Source organism: Homo sapiens, chromosome 16, assembly GCF_000001405.40.
Source record: "Homo sapiens chromosome 16, GRCh38.p14 Primary Assembly".
In the NCBI taxonomy this organism is placed as follows: domain Eukaryota; kingdom Metazoa; phylum Chordata; class Mammalia; order Primates; family Hominidae; genus Homo; species Homo sapiens.
The window spans coordinates 15,941,991-15,956,702 of record NC_000016.10 but is presented as its reverse complement, the minus strand read 5'-3'; the positions used below and the strand labels follow the sequence as shown (position 1 = coordinate 15,956,702).

Here is a 14,712-nt window from a genome sequence, read left to right as displayed (position 1 = left end):
TTTCTTTTCTCTACCTTGCTTCACTGTAAAAATACAGTATATAATATATATACAAGGTATGAGTTAGGCCAAGTGCAGTGGCTCACGCCTATAATCCCAGCACTTTAGGAGGCCGAGGCAGGTGAATAGCTTGAGGCCAGGAGTTTGAGACCAGCCTCGGCAACACAGCAAGCTCCCCATCTCTATCAAAAAACAACCAACAACAACAGAATTAGTGTTATCAACTGCTTATGTTCTCGGTAAGGCTTCCAGTCAACAGTAAGCTGTTAGTAGTTAAACTTTTAGGGAGTTGAAAGTTAGACCTGAATTTTCTTTCCTTTATTGTGTTTTTTTTTTTTTAGACAGAGTCTTACTCTGTCACCCAAGCTGGAGTGCAATGGCGCGATCTCGGCTCACTGCAGTGTCCGCCTACCAGGTTCAAGCAATGCTCATGCCTCAGCTTCTCAAGTAGCTGGGATTACAGGCACCCGCCACCACACCCAGCTAATTTTTGTAGAGACAGGGTTTTACCATGTTGGCCAGGCTGGTCTCAAACTCCTGACCTCAAGTGATCTGCCTGCCTTGGCCTCCCAAAGTGCTGAGATTACAGGCATGAGCCACCACACCTGGCTAATTTTTGTAGAGATGGGCTTTCACCATGTTGGCCAGACTAGTCTGGAACTCCTGACCTCAGGTAATCCACCTGCCTCGGCCTCCCAAAGTGCTGAGATTACAGGTGTAAGCCACCGCGCTGCATCCTAAATTTTCAACTACATGGGGCATCAGCACTCCTAACCCCTGAATTGTTCCAAGGTCAACTGTTATTTACTAAGCCCCAGGCACAGTTCTAGGTGCTGGGATTACAGCCGTAAACAAACACAGGCCAAAATCCCTGCCCCTATGGAGCCGATCTTTTGGTAGGAGTTTACAGAGTAGGCACAATACTTAAGCAAAATATTACGTGTATTAGAAGGCAGTAAGTGCTACTGGGGGTGTAGATGGGGGACAGAGATTTGCTAGTGGAGGGAAAGAACGGGATGCCTGAGGTGACACCTGAACAAAGTTTGAAGGTGAGGGACATAGTAGGTAGGAGAAACAGCAAGTGCAAAGGCCCTGAGGCAGGGACAGGCCTGGCCACAAGTGTGGCTGGAGGAGAGTGAGACAGAAAGCAGCCAGAGAAGAGGTCAGGGAGGCCAAGGGGACAGATGCTGCCCAGCCTTCGAGGCCACTGTAAGCCCTTTGGCTTGTACCCTCAAGGAACTACTGCAGGGTTTTAGTAGAAGAGGGACAGCTGGGCCAAGACTAGACTGTAGGGGTCAAGGGCAGAGTAGGCACAGCAGCGAACAGGTGGCTGTTTTCTTTTTTTTTGAGACAGAGTCTCACTGTCACCCAGGCTGGAGCGCAGTGGCGAACTCTCGGCTCACTGCAACCTCCAACCCCACTGGGCTCAAGCGATTCTCCTGCCTCAGCCTCCCAAGTAGCTGGGATTACAGGCGCCCACCACCAGGCTCGGCTAATTTTTGTATTTTTAGTTGAGACAGGTTTTCACCATTCTGCCCAGACTGGTCTCAAACTCCTGGCCTCAAATGATCCGTCTGCCTTGGCCTCCCGAAGTGCCAGGATTACAGGCATGAGCCACGGCGCCTGGACTGAGGTGACTGTTCAAATCCAGAAACTGGCCAACGATGACTCGAGCCAGAGTGGAAGTCGGGGAAGCCATGAAAAGCAGCCCGTTTGAGGCAACGGGCAACACGATTTGCTGACAGATGTGATAGGAATGGGAGGAGAAAAAGAGAAGTCAAAGCTGGAGACTGACATGGGAAGAGGAAGCTCACGTTCTTTAGGAACATGGTCAGTGGGAGACACCCACATAGAGAGATCAGTTCCTAAAAGTTGTGTCCACAAACAGAAAAGGTTTTCTTCCCCCCCATCTACCACCAGGTCCCAAAGGCGAGGCACCCCCTCCAGGCTATCACAAATGGAACTTGTCCTCGGAGAAAGAGAACACGACCCTTCAGGAGAGTCTTGGCCAAAGGGACCGGCTGCAGCTGCCTTCTGCAGGGCCCCTGTGGCTGCAGTGGCTCCATTTGGCCAAGGAACCCTGAATCCGCTCCTGATTGGCCTGAATCACGAACCCATTTGGACCAGGAACCCCTGAGTCCACTCCTGCCCAGGCCTCTCCCGGGTCACCCTCATCTCCTCCCAAAGCCATTCACCTTGCCACCTTGCACCCTGTCATGTCACCATCCTGGACCTCAGTGTCCACATCCACGAAATGGGGTGGGTGGAGAGGAGGGCCCCCCAAGATCTGACATCCCTTTCCACTCTAACACTCCATAAGGAAGGGAGAGAGGAAGGGTCTGGAAGGAGGGGCAGCCAAAAAGGGGGAAAACAGGCTGAGCGCGGTGGCTCACGCTTGCAATCCCCAACACTTTGGGAGGCTGAGGCAGGTTGACCACTTGAGGTCAGGAGTTCAAGACCAGCCTGGCCAACATGATGAAACCCCGTCTCTATGGGGGTTTTGTAAAGTTTTGTAAAAATACAAAACTTAGCCAGGCATGGTGGCTGTGCGCCTGTAATCCCAGCTACTCGGGAGCCTGAGGCAGGGGAATCATGTGAACGCAGCAGGCAGAGGTTGTAGTGAACCGAGATCACACCACTGCACCCTAGCCTGGGCGACACAGCAAGACACCATCTCAAAAAAAAAAAAAAAAAAAGGGTGGGGAGGGGAAAACAGAGGAAGTAGGAGAAGGCTAAGGGATGGATTTGAAAACCAAAGCCACACTTGGAGGAGGGGAAAAATTGGCTCGTCGTACACTGCTGTTGAGCCAAGGGGAAGAATTAAACCAGGGATCAGACTGACTCCAAGGCCCAGACCTAGCCCCAAGAGGAATTCCTAATAGCTTCTAAGATATTCTTCCTTGGCGGCTAAGTCAGATATTCAGGGGGTTACTGAGTTGGTGGATGCCACAGAGCATCTCAGAGGTGCACATCAACCCTGGGACCAGCTCACTCCATCGACGGTGACACACACCTGCAGCTTCCTTCTGGTCTTCTCCAGTGGCAGTTGGTGCAACAGCAAAAATTAACTGGAGAATTCCAGGTGGCAACGACCACTGATCTTTACTGAGCGCTGTGTGCCAAGCAGCAACATTTTAAGTCCTTGCTAAGGATTAACTCACTTATTCCTCAAGTCACCGCTATTCACTAGGTACTACGTTATCCCACATAGGGAAACTGAGGCACGGAGAGATGACGTAACCTGCCTCAGCAGCAGAGGCGAATTTGCTCTGAGCCACCACACTATACTGCTTAATACCAAGTTGTTTCCTCTGCTTTTCCATAATTTCCAATTTTTCTACACAGGGCCTGAAGCACAATTTTTTTTTTCTTTTGAGACAGTCTCTCTGTCGCCCAGGTTGGAGTGCAGTGATGTGATCTCAGCTCACTGCAACCTCTTCCCAGGTTCAAGCAATTCTCCTGCCTCAGCCTCCCAAGTAGCTGGAATTACAGGCGTGAATCACCAGGCCCAGCTAATTTTTGTATTTTTAGTAGGGATGGGGTTTTGCCATGTTGGTCAGGCTGGTCTTGAACCCCTGACCTCAGGTGATCCGCCTGCCTTGGCCTCCCAAAGTGCTGGGATTACAGGCATGATCTACTACACCCGGCCCTCTTTTTTTTGAGACAGGGTCTCAGTCTGTGGCCCAGACTGGAGTGCAGTGACCGTGATCTCAGCTCATTGCAACCTCCACCCCCACAGCCTTCAAGTGATTCTAGTGCCTCAGCCTCCCTAGTAGCCGGGACCACAGGTGCCACACCACCATGCCAGGCTTTTTTTTTTTTTTTGGTATTATTAGTAGAGACGGGGGTCAATCCATGTTGCCTAGGCTGGTCTCGAACTCCTGACCTCAAGCAATCCGCCTGCCTCAGCCTCCCAAAGTGCTGGGATTACAGGCGTGAGCCACTGCACCCGGCCTGCTTTTTTTTTTTTTTTTTTTTTTTTTTTTAATGAACTCACAAAAAGTCCCAGGCCCATTTTTCCAACCATCATGCCAATATCAACCACAAAGCAGCGCCTCCTACCAGTCCCACCCCCATGAGAAAAGAAAGCCAAGGGCTGCTGTGACCTGTCCTCAGGCCCTATTTTCCGTTTTGATAGCAAAGTTCTCCTTTTCTCTTCCCAGAGCATCTGTCTGAGTAAAGGTCAACAGAACACTTATCATGGGCCATTTCCATCTTCTGGGTTTTCTGGACATTTCCTGCGGCTCAGAGGCAGACAGTAGCCCAGAAACAAAGCTCTGACAGAGTCACCCGAGGCCCACTGACCTTGACTTCTAAGCACATGACCTTGGTCACAACAGGAGCCAGGCACGGGTGCCTCACTGCCTTTTCACAGCCCAATCCCATCTCCACCAGCTGAAGAAAAGGGGAATCCAAAGGAAGAACAAGGAGCTTAAAACACACAACTTCATCTTTGGAAAAAATAATATTTAATACTAACCATTGTTTATCTCCGTGCAGGGCACAAGCTGAGCCACTTACAAGATTAACTCATTGACCCTTCGCAACAACCCAAGAAGGCTGCCACATTTTTGGCTCCTGTCCAATTTTAGAGATGAGGAAAGTGAGGCACACAGAGGGAAAGTGGCTTGCTCAAGGTCACACAGTTATCTGACTGCCTGGGAGGCCAGTCGCTCCTGGCCTCGGACACGCTACCTTGAAAAACACAAAAACAGCCGGGCACAGAGGCCCATGCCTGTAATCTCAACACTTTTGGAGGCCAAGGCAGGAGGATCGCTTGAGCCCAGGAGTAGGAGACCAGCCTGGGCAATATAGTGCGAATCTGTCTCTATAAAAAATACAAAAATTAGCTGGGCGTGGTGGCACACGCCTATAGTCCCAGGTACTTGGGAGGCTGAGTTAGGAGGACCACTTGAGCCGGGGAGGCAGAGATTGCAGTAAGCTGAGATCGTGCCACTGCACTCCAGCCTGGGTGACAGAGCAAGACTCTGTCTCAAAAAAGAAAAAGAAAAAAAAAAGAAAAGAAAAAAGCAACAACTACCTACTTTCTAGCTTTCAGTTAATTATATTTCAATTTTCCCACTCAGGCCCCAGTTGCCTCCTCTCAAATTCTGGTTCCAAGGCACCTCCAACAAGTCTTGGAATCCAGACAGCAGAAATACGCAAGGTCAAACACGGGGATGGGGTACCTACCAGAGGCAGAGATCAGCTACAATTACCCCCAAGCAAAACCCAACCACCTGGCAATTTCTGTGGCAGAAAGTCCTTAACGAAGGAAAAAATAAAAAGAAAAAAGAAAATAAAAATTTTAAAAAATATTACAACTGGACTTCGTGAATGAGTTTCTTAAGATAAACAAAGCGCACCCCAAACATACTCATTAGCCATCAACTACCAATTGCCATCAATAAAATACGTCCTGATACAAAACCTCATGGATGTTCACCCTGTTTTGCCCCCTCCTCAATTCAGAAGAAAATAAACAAGAGAATATTCTGGAATTCACAGCAACACAAACCCAGATCACCATGTGAATCTTTGCAAAAAATAATCTTGCTGTTACTACACCTGGCAACAAGGAAGCCACAGGTTTTCCCCTGCTAAAGAAAGTCCATCTGCAAAGAGGCTCCAATCACCCCCAGACCCTCAAGGCAAAGTCTGTGTTCTATTTCCACCCCTGGGGTTACTCTCCAACCCCACTGGCTTAAAATGGGAGATATATCAAAGTGTGGTAGGTTATTAAACACAATGATACCCTACTAAAAAAAACAAACAAACAAAACCAAACCCTCCAATGGGGCCCTGGAGGATGACTTTTCAACACTCCAAATGCAACCCTCGAGGAAAGGCCGGCAAAACAGGACAAGAAAGTATTTTTGGAAGCTGATCACCAGCTCCTAAGAACCAAGGCTGTTTCTCCTGATTCCTAAACAAAAGAGGAGAGAGAAACAGTCGTGTCCAGATTTGCCTACTGCGTTCACCAACAATCAAGACAGCACGAGACAGAAGTGCCTGCCTTCCTGGAACAAAGAGGCAAATCGCATTACGGAGAAGCTGAAGCCCAAAAGACTGGGGCTTAAACCACAGCAAGTGGACTCCAGACACCCAGTCAGGCTCCGCAGGCCACGTTACAGAAGAAAACTTGCCGGGGTTAAATCTAAGGGGCATCCCCAGAGAGGAGCTCCACGTGTTGCAGGGAAGGGAGGGCAGGACCACAGCTACCAGGGTCCTGGGCGTCCTCAGCTGCACCCCAAGTCTGCCCCGAGCCGAGGGTCAGGTAGGGCACATCAAGGGTGGACATCCCCCTTCTTCCCTGGTTCCCCCAAACTTCCCCCGCAGTATCTAAGTAGAAAGAACAAAAAAAACAAAGCTAGGTAACCACAGAAGAGTAATGTGGCTTGTACGACAACTTTGGGGAGACAATGAAAGTCCCTTTCTACAATCTAAGCCCCTCCCCAGCTCACCCCGTTGGTCACGGAGTATTTTTCGTGAAAAGGGGGGACCCTAACCACAAAAAAGATGGGAAAACAGAAGCAGAGAGACACCCCTCTTCCCGCCCCCCATCTCTAGCGTCCCCTTCCCTGGAAGGTTGTTTTTACAGACGGGAACCCCAAAACAGGAAGGCCTCCTCACGGCGGCTCTGACCCGACCCGACCCTCCAAAACCCCAGGGCTGGGCACGCGGCCCCCCACGCTCTGCTCCGCAGGAACTGAGTCACCCAAGTTTCCCCCATGCCTTGCACCCCCGAAAGGGGCTGGGCCGCGGGCGACGTGAGGGTCCCGGGCCCCCGAGGCCGGCAGCAGAGCGGGGAGCGGGGTGCCCCGGGCGGCTGCGGGCCCGGTGCTTTCCCTCCCCGCCGGCCTCCCTCCGTCCCGCCGGCCTCACGCGGCCCCCGGCACGTACCCAGAGCGGGTCGGAGCCATCGGCGCTGCAGAAGCCCCGGAGCGCCATGCCGGTGGCGCGGGCGGCGGCGGGCACCGGGCGGCGGGTGATCGGGCCCGGTTGCTGGCGCGGGCGGCGGCGGGCACCGGGCGGCGGGTGATCGGGCCCGGCTGCTGGCGCTAGCGCTGGCGGCGGCGGCGGCGGCGGCGCAGGGAGCCGGGGCCGGGGCCGCAACGCCGCCTGGTTGGCCCGCGCGTCACGGGGATGCGGCGGCCCCGCCCCACCCCGCCCCGCCCCGGCGCCCGCTCACCTCGCGCGTCTCGGCGTGGGCAGCCGGACCAGCCACCTCTCGGCGCCCCGGGCCTGGACCCCGCGCCACCCCCACCCCAGATCCTCCAAGGCTTAGGCCCACCCGCTCGCGGACGGGCCTGGGGAGCGTTGGCTCGCCTTCCGGAAGCGCCTGGGATCTTTGGGGCCACACACCCTGCGACCACTTTTCAAATGCTGTTTAAGGACAGTATCCGTCACCAGGGGAAAATAACGTGAACGGAGCCCCCTACCTGCCTGGAGTGTACCGGGCGCCTTAACTGTGCCCTCATTTCATCCTGTAAAGTCTCCACGTTCATGAAGGAAGAAACCCAGGTGCAGAGAGGTTGAGTGATTCCCTCTGCCCAGGGTCACCTGGCTAATCACTTGCAGGGCTGGGATTTGAACCCGGTCCGCTGACTCCAAAGCTGAGTCACACAGAAGGAGGTGAATACTGTTATTCACCTACCTTTTACAGATGGGGAAACTGAGGTTCAGAAAGGCGAAGTGACTTGCCCGAGGTCACACAGTTAATAAGGAGTGAAAGTGGAAGTGAGATTCAAACCCGTGAGCAGCCTGATTCCGGAGCACTGATGACCCAGACGGCGCCAGTCTCCATCACTAACAGCTGTTGACCTCACCTGTGTGCAGAGCGCCTTTGCTTCTTCTCAACCTCTTTAAGCATCACTTAGAAATAACCAGGTTATTGATCCTCACCTCAGAGGTAAGGAAACTGAAGCCTGGAGACATGATAATCGTAGGCCAGGCATGGTGGCTCGTGCTTGTAATCAAGCACTTTGGGAAGCCGAGGCGGGCCGATCACATAAGGTCAGGAGTTCAAGACCAGCCTAGCCAACATAGCAAAACCCTGTCTCTACTAAAAACACAAAAATTAGCCGGGCATGGTGGCGGGCACCTGTAGTCCCAGCTACTTGAGAAGCTGAAACAGGAGAATCACTTGAACCTGGGAGGCGGAGGTTGAAATGAGCTTAGATCACACCACTGCACTCCAGCCTGGGCAACAGAGCAAGACTCTGTCTCAAAAAATAATAATAAAAAAAATTAATATGCATTCACAGTGACAAGGCTTCCTAAGGCTGTGTTCTTAGCAATTTACACAAATTAACTTGTGCAATCCTCACAACCCCATGAGGTAAGAAGTAGTATTATCCCCATTTTGCAGATGAGGCCACTAAGGCCCAGAAAGACAGAGTACATTGTCAGGGATTATTTAGATGGTAAGTGATTAAGCCAAACTTTGAACCCAAGAAGTCTGGCCAGGGAGGTGGGAAGTCTATAATACCATCCATTGCGCCATATTAGTTTTGAACTGTTTCATAGGCAGACAGGTAGAGACAGAGGAGCTAGGGCGAGGCCGCAGAGTGTAAATTTCACTGTGATACCAGCGATGCCTTTCTTTTCTCCTCTCCTCCTTAATCTCCTGCCTGATGTGGGTTTCCATAACACATGCACACAACAGCTGCACCAAATAAAACAGAAACAGTGTGTGCATTTGAGACCTCCCCCCAATCAAAGGACCTAGCGAGGGAAGGAGGAAGGAGGAAGGTAGATAGGATTGTTTTCTGTGATTTTTTTATTGGCCCGGGTCCCCCAAGGGTGAATGAGTTTCTAAGGGATAATTACTTTCATGTAATAATGCCAGTTATGCTGTTGCTTGACCTTTATACTGTCAACAAATATTTATTGAGCATTTACTATATGCCAGATGTCTTGCTAGGAACAAGATAAAATTGCTACTCTTATATAGCTTAAAGGATTGGAATTTTTTTGGATTGGGATTTTTTTAAGTGTTTCTTATGGTAAGATGGCAGATGTTAATCAAATATTATATTTTTGAAAGGGTATTTACAGGCCAGAAGTAGTGACTCACGCATGTAATCTCAGTGCTTTGGGAGGCCGAGGTGGGAGGCTCATTTGGCCCAGGAGTTCAAGGCTACAGTGAGCTATGATTGCACCGCTGCACTGCAGCCTGGGTAACACAGCGAGATCCTGTCTCAGGAAAAAAAAAACAAAAAAAAAAGCCAGGGAAGGGGAGATATGTACAACTATGGTCACAGCTAGAAAAAAAAAGTGGTGGCCGGGCATGGTGGCTCACGCCTGTAATCCCAGCACTTTGGGAGGCCAAGGCAGGCAGATCACTTAAGGTCAGGAGTTCGAGACCAGTCTGACCGATGGTAAAACCCCATCTCTACTAAAAATACAAAAATTAGCTGGGTGTGGTGGCAGGCACCTGCAGGCTCAGCTACTCGGGAGGCTGAGGCAGGAGAATCACTTGAACCTGGGAGGCGGAGGTTGCAGTAAGCCAAGATCATGCCACTGCACTCCAGCCTGGGCGACAAAGCAATACTCTATCTCAAATAAATAAATAAATAAATGTAAAAATACAAAAATTAGCTGGACATGGTGGTGGGTGCCTGTAATCCCAGCTATTCAGGAAGCTAAGGCAGGAGAATCACTTGAACCCAGGAGATGGAGGTTGCAGTGAGCTGAGATGGCCCCACTGCACTCCAGCCTGGACGACAAAGTGTGACTCCATCTCAAAAACACAAACAAAAAAAGTGGGCAAAAGTGGGCCTAAGTTAGCAATTTATACCACCCTTGCTGGGGGGTGGAAGTCAGAGAAGGCTTCCTGGAGGAAGAGGCTTTCAAACTGAGATACAAGGAACGCGTCTGGGTTCCTTGGGCCTGGGTTGTGTTCTGGGCAGAAGAAAACAGTTTATAGCAAAGTTATGAAGCAGGGAGGGTCCTTGGAGGAAACTGAAGACAGCCTGGATGGCAGGAACCCAGAGAAGAAGCAAAAGAAATCCATCCGGAGCAGGTGGGGTCAGAAGGAGCCAGGGCAGGCAGGTACCCGTCGGCCAAAGGAGGGGCAGTGGGAACCACTGGTGGGTTTTAGGCAGGGCACAAGACAGAGTTGGATTTCTTTCCATGTTTTATTCATTCACTCTTTATTCATCCTTTCAACAAATATTTATTGAGCAAGCACATGAAAACATGCTCAACTTCATTAGTCATCAGGGAAATGCAAATAAAACCCCAGTGAAATACCATCATACACCCACCAGAGTGACTGGAAACAAAGACTGAAAATTACGAGTGCAGACAAAGACGTGGATTAACTGGAAAAGGCACGCTCTGTTGGGAGGTATATAAATTGGCTTAACTACTTTGGAAAACTAACAATTTGGCTGGGTGCAGTGGCTCATGCCTGTAATCCCAGCACTTTGGGTGGCCGAGGCAGGTGGATCTCTTGAGCTCAGGAGATTGAGACCAGCCTGAGCAACATGGTGAAACCCCATCTCTACAAAAAATACAAAAAGGTGGGCCAAGGTGGGTGGATTGCCTGAGCTCAGGAGTTCAAGACCAGCCTGGCTGACATGAGGAAACCCCATCTCTATTAACAATACAAAAAAATTAGCCAGGCATGGTGGCACATGCCTGTAATCCGAGCTACTCGGGAGGCTAAGGCAGGAGAACTGCTTGAACCTGGGAGGCGCAGGTTGCAGTGAGCTAAGATCGCGCCACCGCGCTCCAGCCTGGGCGACAGAGTGAGACTCTGTCTCAAAAGTAAAATAAAATAAAATAAAATTAGCTGGGCGTTGTGGCACATGCCTATAGTCTCAGCTACTTGGGGAGCTGAGGCACAACACTCACTTGAACCCAGGAGGCACAGGTTGCTCTGAGCCAAGATCGCACCACTTCACTCCAGCCTAGGTGACAGAGTGAGACTCCATCTCCAAAAAAGAAAGAAAACTAATAATTCGTGCTAAAGTGAAACATACAATTACATAGTGACACAGAAATTCCACTCGCCTCCAAAAGAAAGGTGAGCTTACATCCACCAAAACACATCTACAAAAAATGTTCATAATAGCAACAATATGTATGAATCCCACAAAACACAACAAGGAGCAAAACAAGGCAGACACAAAAGAGCATATTTGCCATGATCTCATTTACACGATGTTCAACAATAGGCAAAACTAATATACATTATTCAAGAGCCAGGCACTGTGGCTCATGTCTGTAATACCAGCAATCTGGGAGGCCCAGGCAGGCGGATTGCTCATCAGGCCAGAAGTTTGAGACCAGCCTGGGCAACATAGTGAGACCTCATTTCTACAAAACAAATTTCTTTTTTTTTTTTATTTTTTGAGACAGACTCTCTCCCTTTGGCCCAGGTTGGAGTGCGGAGGCATGATCTCAGCTCACTGCAACCTCTGCCTTCCGGGTTCAAGTGATTCTCCTGCCCCAGTTTCCCAAGTAGCTGGGATTACAGGTGCGTGCCACGGTGCCTGGCTAATTTTTTTGTATCTTTAGTAGAGACGGCGTTTCACCATGTTGGCCAGGCTGGTCTCAAACTCCTGACCTTGTGATCCACCTGCCTCGGCCTCCCAAAGTGCTGGGGTTACAGGCGTGAGCCACCATGCCTGCCTCAACAAAACAATTTTAAAGATTAGCTGGGCATATTGGCACACACCTGTGGTCCTAGCTACTCAGGAAACTGAGATAGGAGAATTGCTTGAGCCCCAGAGTTCCAGACTGCGGTGAATTGTGTACGATTGCAACACTGCACTCCAGCCTGGGCAACAGAGGTAGACCCTGTCTCTGAATAATAATAATAATAATAATAATAATAATAATAATAATAACAACAACATATGTTGATCAAAGTCAAGATAGGAAGAAATGTCCTAGGGAGATGTAAATGTTCTATAACTTGATTTGGTGGTAGTTATGTGGTTTTAAACATATATATATATATATATATATATACACACACACACACACACACACACACACGTACACACACATTTATATTTTAAAATTCATTGAGCTTGGCTAGGTGCAGTGGCTCATGCCTGTAATCCCACCCATCACTTTGGGAAGCCAAGGTGGGTGGATCACTTGAGGTCAGGAGTTCAAGACCAGCCTGGCCAACATGGCAGACCCGCATCTCTACTAAAAATACATAAATTAGGTGTCCTGGTGCATGCCTGTAATGCCAGCTACTCTGGAGGCTGCAGCAGGAGAATCACTTGAACCCAGGAGGCAGAGATTGCAGTGAGCCGAGATCGTGCCACGGCACTCCAGCCTGGGCAACAGAGTGAGACTCCGTCTCAAAAAAAAAAAAAAAACTTCATCAAGAGGACATTTAAAGTTGCTGTACTTTGCTCTATGAAAGTTAAACTCAATTAAAAAAATTTTTTTGAGCTATGATCTTGCTCTTGCTCTGTTCTTCAGGCTAGAGAGCAGTGGGTGCTCACTGTAGCCTCAAACTCTTGGACTCAAGCAATCTTCCTGCCTTAGCCCCCCAAGTAGCTGTGACTATGGGGGACACCACCACGCCTGACTAACATTTTTTGCAATATTTATGTAAAATGGGATCTCACTACGTTACCCAAGTTGGTCTTGAACTCCTGGCCGCAGGCGACCCTCCTGCCTTAGCCTCCCAAAGCGCTGGGATTACAGGCATGAGCCACTGTGCGCAGCCTCAATTAAAATTTTTAAAATAGAAAATAAATAAACGAGAGTCGGGCACGGTGGCTCACGCCTGTAATCCCAACACTCTGGGAGGCCGAAGCGGGTGGATCACCTGAGGTCAGGAGTTCAAGACCAGCCTGACCAATATGGTGAAACACCGTCTCTACTAAAAATACAAAAATTAGCCAGGCATGGTGGCGCATGCCTGTAATCCAAGCTACTCAGGAGGTGGAGGCAGGAGAATCACTTGAACCCAGGAGGCAGAGGTTGAGGTGAGCCGAGATGGCGCCACTGCACTCCAGTCTCAGAGACAGAGTGAGACTCCATCAAGAAAGGAAAGAAAGAGAGAGAGAGAAAGAAAGAAAAGAGAGAGAGAGAAAGAAAGAAAGAGAAAGAGCGAGAAAGACAGACAGCGAGAAAGAAAGAAGGGAGGGAGGGAAGGAGGGAAAGACAAGGAAAGAAAGAAAAGCAAGAAAGAAATTTATTGCGAGTCTCCTGTGTGCCGGATACTGTATTAGGTGCTGTAGACACAGGAGTGACCAAAACAAAGAAGGAAGTAATTATAGACCAAACCAATTAGTCTACCATTTTCCAAAAGCGGAAACTGGGTTTAGAGGGAAGAAGTAATTTGTTGCAGATCCAGCAGCTGGGATGTGGCAGAGATAAGGCTCAGCTCTGCTCCTAACCACCAAGCCTCTCTGTGCAACTCTTTCAGCCACAGGCTCAAACCACCCCCTTTGCCTTATTTCTAAGCCCCTTCCTCCCCATTAGGGGCTCTCACAATGTAACAAACCCTTAGACCAACAGACTCGGCCCTGCATCAAACCCACTCAACTGGCAGCAAAGTGATTCATGATTAAAATGCAAGATTTGAATTTTGGATTTCAAGCATCACTAAACTGATAGGTAGCACAGAGAATGCCAGAGTTCCTCTTTTTATTTCCTGTAATCACAGCACTCTGTTCTTGTTCATTTATTTAGGAGTACTTTTCACTATTTGTAATCATTCATTTATTTATTTGCTCCATATGGCCTCCCCTGCCAGACTGAGAGCATTTTTTTAATTTTATTTTTATTTTTTTTTAAGATAGAGTCTCGCTCTGTCGCCCAGGCTGGAGTGCAGTGGCAGGATCTTGGCTCGCCGCAACCTGCATCTCCCAGGTTCAAGCGATTCTCCTGCCTCAGTCTCTTAAGTAGCTGGGACTACAGGCACACACCACCACGCCCAGCCAATTTTTGTATTTTTGGTAGAGACGGGGTTTCACCATGTTGGCCAGGCTGGTCTTGAACTCCTGACCTCAAGTGATCCGCCCGCCTTGGCCTCCCAAAGTGCTAGGATTACAGGCGTGAGCGCCTGGCCCAGATTGGGACCTTGAAGCTGCTGCTACCTGTGACCTGAACTTCTGTACCTACCTCCTCCTTGGTCTCCCCACTTCCTTTCTTTCCCCACTACAATCAGAATGCCTCACAGCAGCCCCAGGGGACCTAGTAAAGCACCCTGCATGCAGCTTCCCATGGCCTCCCTTTGTCCTTGGTATAAAATCCTGCTGGAAAAAAATACAACAATTCTACTTCTAGGTATATAACCAAAATAAGAGAGGCCGGGCGCAGTGGCTCACGTCTGTAATCCCAGCACTTTGGGATCCCGAAGCAGGTGCATTACCTGAAGTCATGAGTTCGAGACCAACCTGACCAACAAGGAGAAATCCTCTCTCTACTAAAAATATAAAATTAGCCGGGCACAGTGGCGCGTGCCTGTAATCCCAGATACTCAGGAGGCTGAGGCAGGAGAATCGCTTGAACCCAGGAGGCAGAGGTTGTGGTGAGCCAAGATTGCACCATTGCACTCCAGCCTGGGCATCAAGAGTGAAACTCCGTCTCAAAAAAAAAAAAAAAGAAGTAGTGAAAGCAGGGGTTTGAACAGATATTTGTACACCCATGTTCACAACAGCATTATTCACAGTAGCCAAAAAGTGGAAGCAGGCCGGGCATGGTGCTTCCTCCCACCTTAGCTTCCCG

General features: G+C 49.6%; 1 protein-coding gene and 1 long non-coding RNA gene across 18 annotated transcripts in view, besides 1 other annotated feature; one reads left to right on the top strand and one right to left on the bottom strand.

Annotated features, from left to right (window-relative positions):
- The window catches only part of ABCC1 (ATP binding cassette subfamily C member 1 (ABCC1 blood group)), a 193,911-nt gene extending 186,351 nt beyond the window's left edge, over positions 1-7,560 (bottom strand). For 16 of the 17 annotated variants that reach the window (NM_004996.4, NM_001438755.1, NM_019898.3 and 13 more), the window contains exon 1: positions 6,904-7,087. In NM_004996.4, coding sequence (NP_004987.2) covers positions 6,904-6,951 — 48 coding nt within the window. In that variant the 5' untranslated portion in view covers positions 6,952-7,087. Of the gene's footprint in view, positions 1-6,903; positions 7,088-7,442 lie in introns of those variants that run through there. The other variant, XM_047434134.1, reaches the window with a different exon arrangement.
- The window catches only part of LOC107984869 (uncharacterized), a 46,624-nt gene continuing 39,443 nt past the window's right edge, over positions 7,532-14,712 (top strand). Inside the window, exon 1 of the long non-coding RNA XR_001752339.2 lies at positions 7,532-7,912. This is a non-coding gene — a long non-coding RNA (uncharacterized LOC107984869). The remainder of the gene's footprint in view (positions 7,913-14,712) is intronic.
- Positions 14,153-14,320: a silencer, noted in NCBI's record as "fragment chr16:16036240-16036407 (GRCh37/hg19 assembly coordinates)". NCBI's record gives its function as "represses an EF-1alpha promoter that drives an FKBP-Casp9 reporter gene in an ReSE screen in phorbol 12-myristate 13-acetate-treated (for megakaryocytic differentiation) K562 erythroleukemia cells {active_cell/tissue: K562(+PMA)}" and the evidence as "EXISTENCE:reporter gene assay evidence [ECO:0000049][PMID:32094911]".